The 19,009-nt window shown below is 54.9% G+C and overlaps 1 protein-coding gene across 2 annotated transcripts in view, besides 3 other annotated features; it reads right to left on the reverse strand.

Moving 5' to 3' along the window:
• Positions 1-19,009, reverse strand: part of TAF4 (TATA-box binding protein associated factor 4) — a 91,084-nt gene that overhangs the window by 67,661 nt on the left and 4,414 nt on the right. The window lies entirely within an intron of this gene.
• Positions 4,988-5,586: an enhancer, noted in NCBI's record as "H3K27ac-H3K4me1 hESC enhancer chr20:60622502-60623100 (GRCh37/hg19 assembly coordinates)". NCBI's record gives its function as "activates a minimal SCP1, AML or CMV promoter by ChIP-STARR-seq in naive H9 embryonic stem cells {active_cell/tissue: H9 hESC(naive)}" and the evidence as "EXISTENCE:reporter gene assay evidence [ECO:0000049][PMID:30033119]".
• Positions 11,674-12,174: an enhancer, noted in NCBI's record as "H3K4me1 hESC enhancer chr20:60629188-60629688 (GRCh37/hg19 assembly coordinates)". NCBI's record gives its function as "activates a minimal SCP1, AML or CMV promoter by ChIP-STARR-seq in primed H9 embryonic stem cells {active_cell/tissue: H9 hESC(primed)}" and the evidence as "EXISTENCE:reporter gene assay evidence [ECO:0000049][PMID:30033119]".
• Positions 12,175-12,675: an enhancer, noted in NCBI's record as "H3K4me1 hESC enhancer chr20:60629689-60630189 (GRCh37/hg19 assembly coordinates)". NCBI's record gives its function as "activates a minimal SCP1, AML or CMV promoter by ChIP-STARR-seq in primed H9 embryonic stem cells {active_cell/tissue: H9 hESC(primed)}" and the evidence as "EXISTENCE:reporter gene assay evidence [ECO:0000049][PMID:30033119]".

Consider the following 19,009-nt stretch of genomic DNA (forward strand, 5'->3'; position numbering starts at 1 on the left):
TCGCCTGACTCTCTGCTGAGCTGGTTAACACTTAGCCATCTGAGAATGGCAACTGCTAAAAGAGCATTCATTGTAATCTACCCCTAGGTGCTACTGTGGGGCGGGAGCCCAAAAGGGCTCACCCGGGCTCCTGCACCTGCCCGTCTGCACGCTCCCCTGCACGCTCCCCTTCCAGCAAATGAGCCACAGCCCCTGTTGCAAGTACCCAGAGCGGGTCAGGGAACTCTCCTGTTTCAATGATAATTAGCAACAATGTTACTGGTTTACATATTCACTACATTCTACTTCCCATCACTGTTTCAGAAATATACTGCATCTACTTATTAAAACTTACAGTTAACTGTAAAGCAGCCTCAGGCAGGTCCTTCAGGAAGAGTCCAGAAGAAGGTACTGATATCATAGGGATGACGGCTCCATGTGTGTTACTGCCCCTGAAGACTGCAGGGAGACGGGACTTGGAGGTGGAGGGCAGTGATGTGGATGATCCTGACTCTGTAGGCCTAGGCTAACGTGTGCTTGTGTCTTGTTTCTAACAAGTAAGTTTAAAAAGTAATAAATAATTTTAAAAATGGAAAAAAGCTCGCTGGGCGTGGTGGCACACGTCTGTAAACCCAGCATTTCTGGAGGCTAAGACAGGCAGATCGCTAGAGCCCAGGAGTCCAAGACCAGTCTGGGCAACACGGTGAAACCTACAAAAAAATACAAAAATTAGCCCGGCATGGTGGCCACGCCTGCCTGTAGTTCCAGCTATCCGGGAGCCTGAGGTGGGAGGATCTCCTGAGCCCAGGAGGTCAAGGCTGCAGTAAGCCATGATTGCGTCACTGCACTCCAGCCTGGGTGACAGAGCTTACAGAATAAGGATACAAAGAAAGTATTTTTTTGCACAGCTGTATAATGTGTTTGTGTTTTAAGCTAAGTGTTACTACAAAAGAGTCAAAAAGTTTGAAAAAGTTAAGTTTATAAAGTTATAGTAAGTCAAGGTTATTACTGAAGAAAGAAAACTGTGTTTTTATAAATTCCATAGTCCCTAAGCATACCCTAAGCATAGAGTGCCCCAGAGCCTACAGCAGCACAGTCATGTCCCAGGCCTCTCAGACTCCCGCAGAGCAACACCCAGTCCTGCAAGCGCCATTCATGGTGAGTGCCCTACACAGATGCACCATTTTTCATCTTTTATCCCCTAGTTTTACTGTACCTTTTCTATGTTTAGATACACAAACTCACTATCGTGTTACAACTGTACACGTCACAAGCCATGCAGGTTTACAGCCCAGGAGCCAGGGGCCGCACCACACAGCCTAAGAGTGTAGCAGGCTGTGCCATCCAGGTTTGTGTTAGTATATTCCACGATGCTCGCACAACGATGACATTGCCTAATGATGCGTTTCTAGAATGTATCCCCATCACTAAGTGGCGCGCGACTGTACCTGGTTTACACATAATTCCAGGAAGTATTTCTAAGCCCACTGCAGGCTGGACGGGAAGACACAGAGGCAGGGCCCGTTAGCTAACCCAGGCTTCAGCCTCCCACCAATGCAAAGACCACCCTGCCTGGCCTTCCCTTAAGACTGAGCCTCCCCTGTCTCCAGCCCAATATTCCCAGGCAGAGCTAACTTGTGCTTATTATATGCTTTTTGCCTTGGCAGAGAAAAATATATGTATTTTTTAAACTATTTCCTTCCAAAATTATTTTTTTTAAGTTTTAGTGCTTGAATTATGCAGAAAAGCATCACTATTCAGAGTAATTTCCTGAGTGTACTACACATAAAACTTCAAGTTTTTCAATTAAAATAAAATGCTACCAGAGATGATCTCCAGATTATATTAAGAAAAAATGTCAAGGTAAAAATTAGCGTATATGCTACATTAGTTATAATAGGAGAAAAAGAATATATGTGTGTATGCATGCGAGTATGTGTATTTTGAACCACATAAATGTTTTATACCCTCAAAATACAAAATGAAACAAAAAAAGTAAAATTGAAAACAAACCAAAACATAACTAAATTGTGTATCAAATTGGTAACATAACCAACACAAAAAAGGATCATTTCAGTGGAGTTTTGAACACAGTACTGATCTAACATCCTTAAAGAATAAATTCTAAAGACAAAGAGTGCAAAGAAACCTTAAACTTTACTCTCATGTTATTGTTGTAATTCTGAATCTGTGTTTAAGTATAGGGTAGCAGAAGCCAAGTAAGTAAATATGTTTATGTTACTAGGATCTAAGCTTTTCTGTGCAAGAGAAGAGATAAAAATACAATTTCACAGAATTTACAGGAGGGGGAGAATGTGCTGTGTTAAAAATGTGACCAGCATGACCAGCACCCCCAGCGCTGCCGAAACTGCTCGAGAGTCATTTTCCTCTAAATGCCATTCCAAGGCTCCTCCGGGAAGAGACAGGCCTGGGACAGGAAATACAGGATGAGGCTGATGTCTTGCACCAGAGGCACCAAACAGGATGGAGCGAAGGCCAGGAGGAGACCCATGGGCACAGGGAGCAGTCCGACATGGCAATGGACAAGCCACTCAGCCCAGGGGGAGAAAAGAGGCCACCTTGAGTGACACATGAAAATTAATCCTGGACAGATTAGTGACTACAAGGAAAAGAAAACTCACAACGCCGACATGAAAACACAGGTGAGTAGGTAAATAACCTCAGGTAGGGAGAGACAGTCTAGCCACACTGCAGGAAGAGAACTCGCAAAGCCATGCCGCTCAAACGGAATCCCATCGGGATGCTCCCCGCTCAGGACTGTCACAGGGACAACCGTCCCGCACCTCCTGGCCCATGCACCCTCCCCACCGGCCACACAAGGTCTGGAATGTTCTTCCCTGCCCTTCCTGGGAAAGCCCTGCCTGCCGTGCCTGCCCGCTCCTCTCTACCCTTGACTCGCTTCAGGTGCTTGGTGGAGACGATGGCGGTGAAACTTTCAACAGCGCGCCTGTTTGGGTTTAAGCTTCAGAGAACAGGCGCAGAATCCCTGCACGTGCAAGCACTCCGTGAGTGCTGTGGGATGAACCAGCGATGCTGCCTGAGCCACACACCCGTGGTCTCGGTTCTACAGTTCTCCCTTGGTGACAGGAATACAGACTAGCATGCGTTTCTTTTCCATACTTTTTTGCCTTTATCAAATTTTCTAGGATGAGTACGTACTACTCAGAAAGAAAATAACTATTTAAAAGCCAGAAAACTGCCTTGTTTGTGAGTGTAAGGCTACATAAGCTATTGCCACACACCTGCTCCTGGAAAGGGTGAACGCTGAGGAGAGCGCAACAGATCTGTGGCGAAAGAGCAGGCGGGCATGAAAACTCTTTCTCGTCTAATCCAGAGCAGACGCTCCTGCTTGGACGAAGGGAAGACAGAACTGACGCTCGGGGTACAGACAGGTCCCAAACACACAGCTCCTCATTTGTGTCCTCTGCAGGAATAGCAGTAACCTCTTTTTCACAACTATAACGAACAAATTTTCCTTCTCTCACGCAAACACTTCCAAATACTGATTCTCTCCTAAAGAAATGCAAAGTTCCACAGCCAGCATCAGATTTAAGAGGCAGTTAACTAGGCTGTTTCCCGCCAGGCCGCTGAAAGCCCTCGCTCTGCGGTGCCCCCGTGCAGCAGACGGCAGACATTGGGATTGGGATTCTGTGCCAACAAATGAGACACAAATGACAACCACAGCCATAACTGCCTTTCCTTCCCCGAAACACCACGCTACAGGCAACAGGAAGGAACATGGCCCCAGGGACTTGGTACGGCTTTACTGAAATACAGTTTACATAAAACAAAATCCACCTATTTTAAGTGTGCAATTTGAAAAGTTTGGGCAAATGTATACAGTTGTGTAACCACTACCACAATCAAGATTTAAAACGTTTCTATTCGCTTAAAACATGTCCTAATGCCACACTACGTCACCCTCAATCCAGGCAACCACAACTGTTCCAGCTTAGCTTTTTCTAGAATTTCATACAAATGAAATTGTGCGATAGGCGGTCTTTCCCTCCCGGCTTCTTGCACCTGCTGGGGAATTTTGTAGATTCACTGTATTGCTGCATGTGTCGTGATCCGCTCCTGCGTGGAGCTGAGCAGCATCTCACCATACGGATCTATCACATCACCTGTCACCACTCATGGCAGGATGGACACTTCGGTTCTTTCCAAATATCCTGGGTGGGGCTGCCGCACACGGTCAATCAGTACTTAACTTTTTACGCTTCTCCTAACTGTCAGCGTTGAGGGTCCCAGGACCTCCACACCCACCGACACACGGGATGGCTGTCAGTTTAACTCCAGCTGTTTTTAGGTGGGTGTGTTATCAGCCGCAGCATCCCACTGGGGTTTCATGTCCTGGAGTCTAACTATGTGAGCACCTTTTCGTACACCTGCTAGCCATTTGTGTACCTTCTTTTGGGTCTATTCAAACCTTCTGCCCATTTTTAACCGTTGTTTGTCGTCTTGTTATTTAGTCGTGAGAGTTCTTTACGTACTCTGGACACCAGTTCTTTGTTAGATATAAATATTTTCTCCAAGTCGACGGCTTGCCTTTTCATTGTCTTAACAACGTCTGTCAACCAGCAAAAGTTTTCCTTTAATTTTGAAGTCCTATGTATCGACTTTCTGCCCTATTAGTTCATGCTACTTGTATCCTAGGAAATCTTTCTCCAGCCACAGTCATAAAGACCATCACTGTATTTTACTCATCTATTCTTCGACAATTACTCTCTTTTCAGAAGGACAACTTCAGTGTCACTATGAGCGGGACACACTCTTACTAGCATGGGGCTATGGTAGCTACCACTGCAATCCCAAAGCTGACCAGGCTCCCTCCTTACCCCGAGAGGTCACACCACCAGCCTGCACTGACACCCCTGAAACACTGACCTTCTAGAAACATTCTTTTTTTCTGAGAGAGTCACACCAAGGTCTGGTTAACGAGGCACTCAGAGCATGGACTTCTCTTAAAGCTGATGAATATTCGTGAGCTCCTTTAGAAGGAAGAGATCACACAGTCTCAGGGCACCTGCTCTACCCTCTTCCCTCTACAGCGAGACCCTCCCCACCCCCGCACAAGAAAGGGGCGCTGAGAAGAGTAAGTCCACAGGCAAGTGAAGACCCCATCACATGCACAACAGGCCACACTCAGGACAGCGCTAGAGGCACCATCACACTGGAAATAGCATAAAAAGAGATGGAAACGGTGGCGGAAGATGCTGCAGCCTCTGCCTCTGCCGTGAGCGCAGAGCGCACCGTCAAGCCCAGGTGATGCAACATGCTTCAGCACCAACCAGACTTCGCCATGAGAAGAGTCGCCCCTGGCTCCCATCACAGGAACACGGCAGAATACAAACGCACGCTATCCAATGTCAATCATACCAAAAAGGACACAGCCATGGAAGCCGCAGGTCTATTTTTATAAACACCAGCACCCGGGATTCCTCGCCGAGATGTTCAAACACGGGCGCTGCCTGACACCGGCAACCCTGCCCCGGGACCGCCCCACATCAGGGCCATCCCAGACCTAGCTCCCCAGCACCCAAACCCTCACTGGACCACCCCCTCATCAAGATGCCTGGTCCCCCACCCAGAGTCACAATACGGGGAAGGGTGTGTAGAAGAAATCAAGTCTCAAAGTCACCTCTGAAAATCCCTGAAGCCCTGGGGCTCAATGCCGAGTCAATTCCCTGTGGCTGCGACATACCTAGCACCTTCCCACACAGGGCAGGCTGGCGCGTGCCTGCCCAAGTCCCAGATGAGAAAGGGGGCTGCCTCTGGGAGTTCTGTTGTACCACAAATGCTTTTCTAAAAACCAAGAGGCAGCCCAGCCCTGTACTAGCTCCTCCTGGACACACCTAGGAAAGGATGGGAGTTGTCAAGTGATTTGCTCAGCTGGGCATCCCGAGTGCAGAGCAGTGAGGACAACCACAGACAGGGCCACCTGCAAGGCCTGGCTGGAATCTCCCTGACTCCAGCTGGCCAGCAGGTCCTAGCTAGCCCCTCCCTCCTGTCCCCAGGGTGGACCCTGCTCTTCCCCTAACAGAGGTGCTCCCACTCTCATGCAACACAAACCCACTGCACTTCCAGGGTCCTCGTGTGGGGCCACACCTCTGTTAAGCAGGATCGTCTCCCCACGTGCCCACCTCCGTCACCAGGCTCCATCCCCACAGGCCCTCTCCCTGTATGCCCACCTTGTGACCAGGCACCATCCCCCCAGGGCCCTCTCCTGGCGTGCCCACCTCGGTCCCTGGGCTCCATGCCCCCTGGTCCTCTCCCCACATGCCCACCTTGGTCACCAGGCTCCATCCTCCTGCAGCCCTCTCCCCGCATGCCCACCTCAGTCACCAAGCTCCGTACACCCCAAGCTCCGTACACCCCCACCCCAGCCCTCTCCCCACATGCCCACCTCGGTCACCGGGCTCCATTCCCCCCAGCCCTCTCCCTGCATGCCCACGTTGGTCACCAAGCTCCATCGTCCCGCGGCCCTCTCCCTGCATGCCCACCTCGGTCACCGGGCTCCATCCCCCCCTGGGCCCTCTCCCCACATGCCCACCTCGGTCACTGGGCTCCATCCCCCCTCCCCCAGTCCTCTCCCCGCATGACCACCTCGGTCACCAGGCTCCGTCCCCCAACTCCAAGCTGCAGCATCTGCACTGTGCCTCCACTGGCACCACCCACCAGCCCCATCATGGCTGCTGGTTCTCCAGGTGCAGCAGTGCCCACGCCCGCCTTCCACATCTGCCCCCACTATCCCCACCATCAGGATGTGCCGAGACCCTGCAAGCGGGGTTCCCAGGCTGAGCTTCTGTGCGAGTGTCTGTGACCTGTCCAGGAAGTGGATCCCAAACATGTGCCCTGCAGGGCAGTGGTGAGCATGGGAGGCGCACACAGTGCCTGGCACCAGCCAGCATCCAGCAGCCACAACACACAGGCCCACTTCTGCGTCCCCTGCTCAGTGACCACCGCCCTCTTTCTGATTCTGTCTCCAGTGTGTCATCAGGACCAACATCTAGAACCCAGGCCAGACCTTCTGGCTCTTCCACTCCACAGCCTTCAGGGGTCCCCACTGCCTGCAGAGGAAGGCCCTGCTCTCCACATCGTCCTGGGTCTCATCTACCTGAGTCACACCCATACTCACACCTGCAGAGAAGCACCACGGCCCAGATCCCTGCCTGCCCCAGCCCCGCACCCTGCCCCTCATCCACCGTGCACCCCAGCCCAACTCCCAACTCCCCAGCAGTCCACAGCTGCCACCAGGGTCACTCCAGAGGGAGGCAGGGCCCGGGCAGAGGTTCCAGAGCCCGGGTTTCTAGCCCCAGGCCCCACCAGTCACGTGGCCTTGAGCAGTTCATAGAAATGCGAGCCTCAGTGTCTCGTCCCTAGGCAGGTTTCACGACACCATCGTCACAAAGACTAAACACGGTGCCAGAGACGACGGCACTCAAGATGCTTGGAGCAAAGTGACTGCTTCAGACCTGCTGCAGAAACCCAACCTGTCACGGAGCACACAGCAGCCCCACGGAGCAGCCTGTCCCCAAGGCAGGGAGTCAGCCTCACCCGCTCACCCCATCTTCACCCAACGCCTACTGTCACACGCTGGAGTTGTAAGTACTCACGGAGGACACCTGACAAACTGTTTTTCTACAACCTTCCATGAAGATGAGGCCACAACAGTCAAAACAGGTAACACCCAGAGCCCCCAGAGGACACTGCAGACCAGAAGGTTCTGCACAGCAGCGACCAGGGCACAGCAGCAGAAGGAAGGGCTCCTCCCCCACATGACCTATCCTCGGCCTCTCATCATCCTCCCCTCCAGGGTCCCGGCCTGGCTCTGCTCCCCATGGACCACTCCATGTCCCATCACTCACCGCTCCCTTCTCCTGCCAGTCTGGACCTGGGCACAGCAAGAGTCTCCTCCTGGCACCTCTGCCCCATAGGAGGCAACTTCTGACGACTCTTCCCAAAACGCCACAATGCCTGCTTGTGCTTGTACATGGAGATTCCAGACAGGTGCCCCCACCCGCTGAGAGCAGCCCGGGGTGCTGGCAGCACAGTCTCCTCTCTCCCCCACCCCTCCCCAGCAAGACCCACCAAAACAAGAGTAAAGGAATTTAAATGGTCAAAGCCCCAATAAAAAGAGAAGAGAAGGACAAGAGAGTTCAATAAACCCAGTGCAGGCTCCATGAGAGCCACAGGGCTCCGGAACAGCAGAGGCCCGCCCGGGAGGGCACACCCCTGCTGCTGATAGGACGGGCATCTAGGCATCACCCAGAGCCACCTGCCAGGCTCCAGGCAGAAGGAAGAAGTCACGGCAGAAAGGACCTCTGCCGAGGAAACACACACACATTGGCCCCAAGAGATCAGAACCCCCACACCTGGCCCCCCAGAACAAGGCATGCCCAGCGCTGCTTCCTCCTGCACCCACCCAGCAAGGCCCCTTTCTGCCACTACCCACGCTGCCCTGGGCACTGGGGAATCAGTGGAGACCCCAGGCAGGGCCCCTCCCACAGAGCAGCTCAGAGCTGGGAAGAAAACATTTTCACCCCTCACAGGGGAAGCATCTGAAGTCAACAGCACACTCTCGAAAAGTTACAAGGAGGTTCAGAAAGGGAGGAAATCACCATGGAAATCACGTCCAAAATGAACCTCAGCCCATGGCCCCCAGTGTCAAGTGGAAGGCAGGGTGCAGGGCAGCCCCGCAGGCGCTGGGGCTGAGGAGCAAGAAGGGACCAAGTCCCCTGTGGGACCGGCAGCCTTGGGAGGGTTCCAGCGAGGCCCCGGCCTGCGCCCCAGCCAGTCACAGAGGCCCCTTCCTGCCCACTGGCCAGACACCCAGGGTGCTCAGCTCTTGACGTGGGACACCGGGGGTTCTGGGCCCACTGTGCCTGAAGCAATCACAGGGCGTCACCGCCCGGCCTGGCTACTCTCAGGCCTCCTCTCACACGATACTCCTGTCAGGCAGGGAGCCACCCAGCAATGCTCCCTCCCCACAGGGCCCTGGGACTGCCCTCCCCAGGCTGCACGTGCAGAGGGAACTTCGTCATCTCGGCCCTGCAGCATGAGTCCCATCCACCGTTCACTCCCACCCCTCTCACCGCCATAGGACACAGGGCTGGGCCTGTCCCAGACCTGTTTTCCCACCACCAAGAGCCCTGATCCACAGAGGCCACCCTCCCTCCCCATCCGCTCGGTGACCCCCACAGCCATCAAGACAGTCCCTCAGTCCCCACAGTCCCTCCTCTGAGGGGCCTGGCCCCTGCCATGGCACCACTTCAGAACCTCATGGCAGGTGGCCTGTGGCCCTCAACGCTGCCCCTGCCAAGCCTCCTGCAGCCATCACTGGCCAGGCCATCAATACCTCAGGGGCGTCCCGGGTAGCAGGGATGCAGTGATGACAAACAGATCCACCCGTGAGGAACCTGCACCCACAGGACATGCTCCATTCTGGATATCTGCCACCCCTTCCTGGACAAACCAAGGTTGCCGCCTCCCACCAGGCTCTAGGGCCTGCAGACACACGACCAAACCCCTGCAGGGCCATGTCACCTCCACAACCACAAGGAAGAGAGATGACAGGAAGGCCACCTTCCCCTTCTGCGTCCTGCACCGTGGACTCCCTGCATCCCCGCAGCACAGCATGGCCACCGAGCACCGCAGACGTGCCCAGGCCAACCAGCTCCAAGTGGGGTGCAGTAGCGGGGTGCAGGCTAAATGACAGTGGCCTGGATGAAGTGGCTGACATGAAGCATGTCAAAGGCTCAACCTCCCCCTCCCGCCCCACCCATCCTCATCCAGCCTAACTCCCACCGACCCGAAGCACGAATCCAAATGGGGCGCACTTTGTTTCCGCTATTGAGCATGGCTCCAAGATCTCTCCTTAAAATACAAACAGGAAAAAACAAAGAAACTGTCCTTTGACCCCCTCACCACAGTCAGTGACCTACTTCTCCATCTCCTCCTGAACCTGACCCCCAGCACTGCCATCTGGAACCAGCCGCCTCCAGTCAGCTGAGATCGACAAACCCCAGGGTGCCCTGCCCCGCACCAGCTCCACACCCCAGCCCCAGCCCGTGTGTGCCCTGTGGGTCACTGCCTCCCCTGCATCACTAGAATGTCCCCGCCCAGGTGTCTGGGCTGGGATCTTGTCACCTCCCCCACAACAGATGGGCAAGTGTCCCATGGCTTGAACACCACCGTCCCCACATTGCACCCCTATGTGAACTGCAGGCTCACGCTCCAGGTGCCTCGCGCCACCCCCCACACCCCAGGTCCCTCACACCGCCCCCCACACCCCACACCCCGGGTCCCTCAAGCCACCCCCACAACACCAGGTCCCTCACACCACCCCACCCCCACAGTACCAGATCCCTCGCGCCATCCCCCATATCCCAGGTCCCTCAGGCCATCCCCCACACCCCAGGTCCCTCACGCTGCCACTCGTACCATCAGGTCCCTCACACCACCCCACAAAACGCCATTTCCTTCACACCATACCCCATGACATCAGGTCCCTTCCGCCACCCCCCACAACACCAGGTCTCCAGGGCTGGAACCATGTGACCCAAGGCAGGTGGCAGCCCTTCCCACACAGGAACTCTGGTGGCACGCCCACAACCTCCAAGGCACTGAGGAGATGCCATCCCCAAGCCCAGCCTTCGGGCCCAGGCAGAGCTGCGTCTGGCCCACAGAGCACCCGAAAGTGGAAGAGGGTGGCCCTATCACCTGTCCAGAATCACAGCCTCCAAGACGCCCAGTCCGTGCTTTCCCAACTCTCAGAGCTCTGCGTCTAATCGATGGTGGGGCGAAGGGAGAGCCACGGCGGCCCTGAGTGCAAGCACCATCCTGAAACCAGGAGCCCATGAGGCCGCGGGAGCCGGAGGACCAGGACCGCCCTCGCACTGCCCTGTGACGAGCTCCCGGCCCAGCTCTCTGCCGCTCTGGATCCGTCACTAAGCAGCTCCATTAAGTGCCCGGTCAGGCAGGAGCGGCAGGGAAACACTGGGGCACCCACATCTGAACAGAGAAGATGCCCACCTTGAGAAGGTACTCTGGAGAAGGGAGCCACGAGCGACGTTTATGCTGAGAAGCGGCATCCGTGCACCTCACCTCCGCCCGTCCACGCCGACCTGCAGCACTCCCCAAGCAACTCCGCCAGCAAGCTGCCAGATCCACAAGGTCTCACCTGAGCTACTGCCGAGTGAACGTTTGTTGACCAACCAACCAAACTCATCCCCCTGGCCCACCAAGGCCAAGCACGGTCTGAGGCCTGCTGGCTGTCCACCCGTATCCCACCCTGCCCCCAGGCACAAGCCGAACCACCCAGCACTCTGTGCAGACAGACACAGACAATGACCAAGTCTTCTCGGCTGAAACTAGGGAGAGGCCTGCATCACTTCTGAGCAAGGGCCTTAAGACCAGGAGTGCCTCTTGGCCACTTGAAGCCCTTGCAGCCGCAGGACTGCAGGGACTGACGGAGATGAGCCTCCCCAGGCAGATGAGGTGGCCCAGACCTAGCAGACAGCCACCAGCTGGGGGGAGCCCAAGCACTGGAGGGCCCACAGGACCCAGTAGGATCGTCGGGTGAGGCCACGCGCCACACAGACCCACCCCAGTGCAACAGCCCCTCACCATGCACTCAGGATATTCCCTTCTGTGGATTTTCTCTTTGAAAGCCCCTGTGCTTTAGTGGTTTTAAGTTGTAAGTTTGCTCCAAGCTGAACCATTTCCAGTCTCTCTCAGCAGCACAAGCATGAAGGAGGCGGCCTGAAGGAGTGACAGGTGCCCTGTGGCATGCAGCCTCCATTAAGGGGCCACGGGGTTTTGGAGAAGCTGGTCACCTCTGTGAGCCTCAGCGTCTCTGTGGAAGGGGACTCTCTTCCAGGACTTTCTGGCTCTAGAGATCTACAGATCTGTGAATTTGTGCACGCCAACATGCGGCAGGAAGGCGAGGACTGCACACACAAGAGCAAAGCGGCCTCCATCACAGCCATGCTACCTCTGCCATCGCTGCGCTGGAGGCCAGGAGAGACGCCAACCTTGCAACAAATGCTACTCCACCACATAAGGCTCTCAGCAACGGCCACGCCATGTCCTTCCACCCCAAGAGCTGACAGCTCTTTGCTCTGGGCCACCCTTCCTGCAACCTCCTCCACCAGGCTCCTGCACCCAGGTGTCCACCCTCACCACCCCACTCCCAGCACTGCTGGCCAGATGCACCCTATGAATGCTGGCCTCTCCCGGCACTCCTCTCTGGCTCCCAAGCTGGCCCAGCCTTGGAGGTGCCGGCACCTGCAGGGCAGCCTCCTACGGCTCTTCTAGTCTACTCTACAGGCTCATAACACCGTCATGGCCATCAGAGCCAGCAACACCACGACTCCCAGACCCTGGCCTGTGCCAGCTGCTCCCCTGAGCTCCTGCCTCCCACCAGCCACCGACATTCCCTCTCACCCCGCCTGCCCACCTCAATCTCATTCCACAAGAGCCTTTGTCTTCACCCCTCCCTCCAGCCCATCCACACCTCCCTAAGCCCCACCATCTGCCCCAGGCCCCTGCCACAACCACCCCCACATTCCACAGCTCAGACGCAAAAGTGACCTCAACATACAACTTTAAATTATGCCCTATCCAGCTTCAAACCCTCAATGGCTTCCAGCCACTGAGGCACTTGGAATCAATTCACACTGCCTGCGGGCAGTCCTGCAATACAATCGATTCACGCTGCCTGCGGGCAGTCCTGCAAGACAATAGACTCACGCTGCCTGCGGGCAGTCCTGCAAGACAATAGATTCACGCTGCCTGCGGGCAGTCCTGCAAGACGATCGATTCACGCTGCCTGCGGGCGGTCCTGCAAGACGATCGATTCATGCTGCCTGCGGGCAGTCCTGCAATACGATCGATTCACACTGCCTGCGGGCAGTCCTGCAAGACAATCAATTCACACTGTGCAGTCCTGTGATATAATCAATTCACACTGTGTGCAGGCAGCCCTGCAATACAATCAACTCACACTGCCTGGGGGCAGCCCTGCAATAAAATCAATTCACACTGCCTGGAGGCAGCCCTGCAATATAACCAATTCACACTACTTGGGGGCAGCCCTGTGATACAATCAATTCACACTGTGTACAGGCAGCCCTACAATATCAATTCACACTATCAGAGGGCAGCCCTACAATCTACACGGGGGACCCCTGCATCTACTCTTTCCTTGGCCTGGATACAGGTCCCAGCTGCATGTGGCTGACCCCTTTCTCATCCCTCAGCCTCCTGGGAAAGCCTTCCCTGACTACCCTGCCCAGCAGTCCCCTCTCACCCAAGGGTGCTAATCACAATCAGACATTCCTGCTGATCTGTTTGCCTGTTAACTGCCTGGCCCCCACAACGGACACACCATGAAAGCAGGGGCTGTCAGCCTGGGACCCCCCACAGCTGAACCCTGGTACCCTCATCAGCCTTCCCCCGTGGCCCAGTACACACCCTCGGAATGTGCTCATGCAGGCCAGGCGCAGTGGCTCACACCTGTAATCCCAGCACTCTGGGAGGCAGAGGCAGGCGGAGCACTTGAGGTCAGGAGTTCGAGACCAACCTGGCCAACAAGGTGAAACCCCGTCACTACTAAAAATACAACAATTAGCTGGGTGTGGTGGTACATGCCTGTATTCCCAGCTGCTCGGGAGGCTGAGGCATGAGAATCACCTGATCCCGGGAGGCGGAGGTTGCAGTAAGCTGAGATTGCGCCACTGCACTCCAGCCTGGGTGATGGAGTGAGACTCTGTCTCGAAAAAAAAGAAAAAAACAAGAACGCGCTTATACAAATAGGCACAGTTGGCGAGAATAAATAGCCAACATCCACATGAACGAGGTCTAATTTCACTCAAAGAAATGCAACTTAAAACTAGACACGATTTTCTTCCTTTAGAATGGTATCCATTCCCAAAAGTCGTATTCTGGCAATGGTTTTAAAAGTGTAATCTGGTGGAAGGTGATATGTATCAAAGCCTTGAAAATGCTCAACCCACCAGACACACACACAGTTAGACATGAAGGCATTCACCTACAGGGGGCCACTTGTCGCCATCAGCACAGCACCCTGGCACAGGGGCCGTTACCAAATGCTGGAGCCTGAGACCACCGAGGGCCAAGGGAAAGTGCACCAGACACAGGACAAGGCAAAGCACAGACTTGGGTCACAGGAGAACTGTAATTACAGAAAAACACAGAAGCAGATATGCAGCAGACACAGGCTGAAGTGAGACACCCCGAAATTTTAGCAGTCTGGGCCAGGTGACGTTACAAGTGACTGTATTTTCTTCTTTACAGTTTACTTCCCAAACTTCCTATAATGAAAAAAAAACTAATTTTATCATCAAAAAAATCATGTTGAAGTAACTAATAATTTTTTACACTTACAGTTACATAAAAAAGCCAATCGAGCCTGCTTCCCGTGTCACCCTTGTTCCTGTCATGATGCTTCTGACACTGACATTCGTAACCTTCTGCAAAGCTCCAAAGCAAGGCAGGCCTGTGCGTTCTGGGCATGCTCTGAGCACCGTGCGTGGCTCCTATGAACACCACGGAGACCACGCTCCTCCGCAGAAGACACAGAACTTCCTTTAAAAACTTTCACAGGTCATTGTCCCACACACTTTACTGCAAAGTCAGAAAATGAAAGGCTGTGTCCCCCGACCCCATGGAACAAGGTGCCCACCTTGCCACCGGCAGCACCTCTGCCCACAGTGTCTGCAGCCCCCAGTGGACCAGCTGACCCACAAAGCCTCTGCCCCAGGTGTGCTTGGGCCACACCCAGCGCCCAGAGAAGGGTTCAGCTCCCTGGCTCCTAGTGTCCTGCCTTGTCCACGCACTGTCCACTCAGACCTCTGACCCCAACCCCGAAACAATTCCCTTGGGAGCCACAGACCTTCTTACTGCAGGGCCCTCATTCTAAAACCTAATGTCAAATTTGATAGACAGAAAAAACTGTTTCTGGGGTTTCCTGACTATTCGGAAATGGTCCCTCCAAGATCCATGTACCCCAACACCACCCTACCTGGCTACGCTCCTCTCACAACTTTGAGATCAAGATGCCACGTGTGCCTTCCTCACATCGGCGCTTTCCAGTGATGCCCAGTGGGGGACACAAAGGGCCCAGCAAGACCTCAGGAAGGACGGACACAGGCCTACACACCAGGCCACAGACAATGGGGCTCGGGGGGCCAACCTCAGCAAGACCTCAGGAAGGACGGACACAGGCCTACACACCAGGCCACAGACAATGGGGCTCGGGGGGCCAACCTCAGCAAGACCTCAGGAAGGACGGACACAGGCCTACACACCAGGCCACAGACAATGGGGCTCGGGGGGCCAACCTCAGCAAGACCTCAGGAAGGACGGACACAGGTCTACACACCAGGCCACAGACAATGGGGCTCGGGGGCCAACCTCAGCAAGACCTCAGGAAGGACGGACACAGGTCTACACACCAGGCCACAGACAATGGGGCTCGGGGGGCCAACCTCAGCAAGACCTCAGGAAGGACGGACACAGGCCTACACACCAGGCCACAGACAATGGGGCTCGGGGGCCAACCTCAGCAAGACCTCAGGAAGGACGGACACAGGTCTACACACCAGGCCACAGACAATGGGGCTCGGGGGCCAACCTCAGCAAGACCTCAGGAAGGACGGACACAGGTCTACACACCAGGCCACAGACAATGGGGCTCGGGGGGCCAACCTCAGCAAGACCTCAGGAAGGACGGACACAGGCCTACACACCAGGCCACAGACAATGGGGCTCGGGGGCCAACCTCAGCAAGACCTCAGGAAGGACGGACACAGGTCTACACACCAGGCCACAGACAATGGGGCTCGGGGGGCCAACCTCAGCAAGACCTCAGGAAGGACGGACACAGGTCTACACACCAGGCCACAGACAATGGGGCTCGGGGGGCCAACCTCAGCAAGACCTCAGGAAGGACGGACACAGGTCTACACACCAGGCCACAGACAATGGGGCTCGGGGGCCAACCTCAGCAAGACCTCAGGAAGGACGGACACAGGTCTACACACCAGGCCACAGACAATGGGGCTCGGGGGCCAACCTCAGCAAGACCTCAGGAAGGACGGACACAGGTCTACACACCAGGCCACAGACAATGGGGCTCGGGGGGCCAACCTCAGCAAGACCTCAGGAAGGACGGACACAGGCCTACACACCAGGCCACAGACAATGGGGCTCGGGGGGCCAACCTCAGCAAGACCTCAGGAAGGACGGACACAGGCCTACACACCAGGCCACAGACAATGGGGCTCGGGGGCCAACCTCAGCAAGACCTCAGGAAGGACGGACACAGGTCTACACACCAGGCCACAGACAATGGGGCTCGGGGGCCAACCTCAGCAAGACCTCAGGAAGGACGGACACAGGTCTACACACCAGGCCACAGACAATGGGGCTCGGGGGCCAACCTCAGCAAGACCTCAGGAAGGACGGACACAGGTCTACACACCAGGCCACAGACAATGGGGCTCGGGGGGCCAACCTCTCCAGTCCCCAAACACAGTCCCCAACAGACAACTTCTCCTGTCCCCACATGCGGCTCCCAACAAACAATTTCTCCTGCCCTCACACGCGGTTCCCAACGACAACTTCTGCTCCACAACATGACACCCACGGTGGGAGAAGCTGGGGGCACTTCACTACATCATCCTGCACACTGCAGCATGGCCTGCTCCAGGCAGAAGGCAGGCCTGGAGAAGAGCCTGGGACCACCGCGGACTGACCAACAGCGGACACCAGGTACTTTCTCAAATGGGAGAGGGGCCTCATGGTGGACAACATGTATCTCTTTGTTTTTCGAAAGCTGTACATCTTTGGTGCAAATGTTCATTTGAGATATGTAAAAATCAAAAGTTTTCACTCAAAACTTTCATGGTCCAACCATGGAAATATTAAGCACCCCATTTTCGAACATAACTTGACAGCACTTATTCTACTTCATTATTCCACGCAAGAATTGGAAAGAACAGCTGTGTACGTGTTTGCAGCTGACACCACAATGCCATAGCAACCGCAGGCCCACCTGGAAGCAGAAGCGTCCAGGAAGCCCAGGTGCACAGCACTCGGCACAGAAGGGCCTGCAGCCAAAAGCCCCCTTTATTTAACTGCTTTATTGCTATCAAAGGCCTGATTAAGTAAACGCCCCCATCACGCTGCCTGAGCCGGGCACCACAGGTGAACACCCTAAACAGCAACTGTTTCCTGGATGATCGAGGGCTTGGAGGTTCCTACTGAGCACCATGAAGAAGAAAAGCAAAGCACTTCGGGAACCCTGCAAATTACCCCAAATCTCAGGCAAGCTTCTCCAGAGCCCTGTTACACCTCTGCTTCAAGATCCTCAAACACAGCTGCTAATTATGCTTTGATCAACTCACTTACAACCAACAATTTATAAAAGCTTTCTTCAAATTTATCCCTTAAGTGGAAGAAAACTCACATTATACAGTAGAAAAGGCTTTGGAGGTAGAACAGGAACTGTCTCCATTCCACTCTGATTTCGGGATGCGGACACGCCCACCAGTCTGTTCTGCTGAGCCCGGTCTGTGCTGCTCTGACCAGACGCCGCCTCCCGGCCTCCCTGTGCTGATGTCTAAGGGGCAACTTCCACAGCACACCGGGGAGCCCGGGGGCAGTCCTGGAAGCCAGGGTGGCTCTGCTCTCTGCCCTGGGAGAAGGCCAACTTCCCAGGCGCCCGGGGCCTGCCTCAGGTCCATTTGCCACAGAAGCAAGCGGGACACCCTCTCCTACAAAGCTTCTCACAGGCCCTAAGAACCAGGGCAACCGTAACGAACTTCAAACGTCATCCTCTGTTCAAACTCATAGACCTCTGCTGTGAATGCAGTGCTCGGGCACAGTAAGCAGTGAGGAGAGAGGCTCCTAAGAGCGTCACAGGACCCCGACTCCTGGCTGCCACTAAGCCATGAGGGTCACCAGCTCTGAGACACCAAAGGCAGGTGAGGTCCATCCCAACCTGTCACCAAGATGACTCTGTTCATCCCGAAGGCGATGGTGACGACCCCAGCCGCGGGGCAGGGGGCAGGGAGGAAGGGAAGACCCAGAGCGGCGCCCTTGCCCTATGCTAGGCAGAGCTGTCCAGGGCTGTCTTTACACAGCTCCCCAAAAGTTCTTTTTCTTTGTTCTTTTCAAATGTCACTCCTACCTGAGTATGTCAAAAGAAACACCAGATTAAGGCCTCTAGCCTAAAGTGAGCCCTCCACCCAGGTCCAGGCCTCCAAAGGCCACTGCAACCCTCCCCTATGTTGGCAACCACCGCCCCAGGGTGACCCACCTCAGACCTCGGTAACTTCCCCATTGACAGAACCAGTCAGCTGCCACACCAAACACCTCAGTCACTGAGAAAACATCCAGTCTGGATTAATGTGTGAAAATCAGTGAAAAATGAGGGGAACTGGGAGAGTTTGGAATAGTGAGCGCCACCTGACAGCTATGTTATCTGGCCCAACCTGACAGAATTCACATTCTTCACCAAAAGGGCAACCCCACTTTACAGCTGGGTAAGCCAAGGCTCCGAGGAACAACATATTCCTCCCAGGTCAAACGGCAACAGGGCCCTCAAGTCACAAAATCTAAACTTTTAGGAATGTCCCTTGTGCCAGAGCACTGGCTGCCACCACTGGCCACCAGAACTCACAGCTCCTGCAACCTCAGGGGTGGCCGTCTGCATGCCGCCACCCAGCATGGGCCTGGACTCGCCAAATCCAACCCGTCCCAACAGCGCGATTAAGGGCTAGTGGACATTTTCCCCCTTTCCCCACAGATGGGAACCAATGCTCCAGACAGCACCCACAGACACACATTCACCTGGGAGTACTCATCCTAAAACATGCAGCAAGCACACGCCCCCTAGGCCAAGGGATCAAGGCCCATGGTGAGAAAGTGCTTTTCTGTCCTGGAATGGGAATCTACACTTGGGCCAAATCTTAGAGCAAAA

The sequence above is a fragment of the Homo sapiens genome, chromosome 20 (assembly GCF_000001405.40).
Source record: "Homo sapiens chromosome 20, GRCh38.p14 Primary Assembly".
NCBI classification, from domain to species: domain Eukaryota; kingdom Metazoa; phylum Chordata; class Mammalia; order Primates; family Hominidae; genus Homo; species Homo sapiens.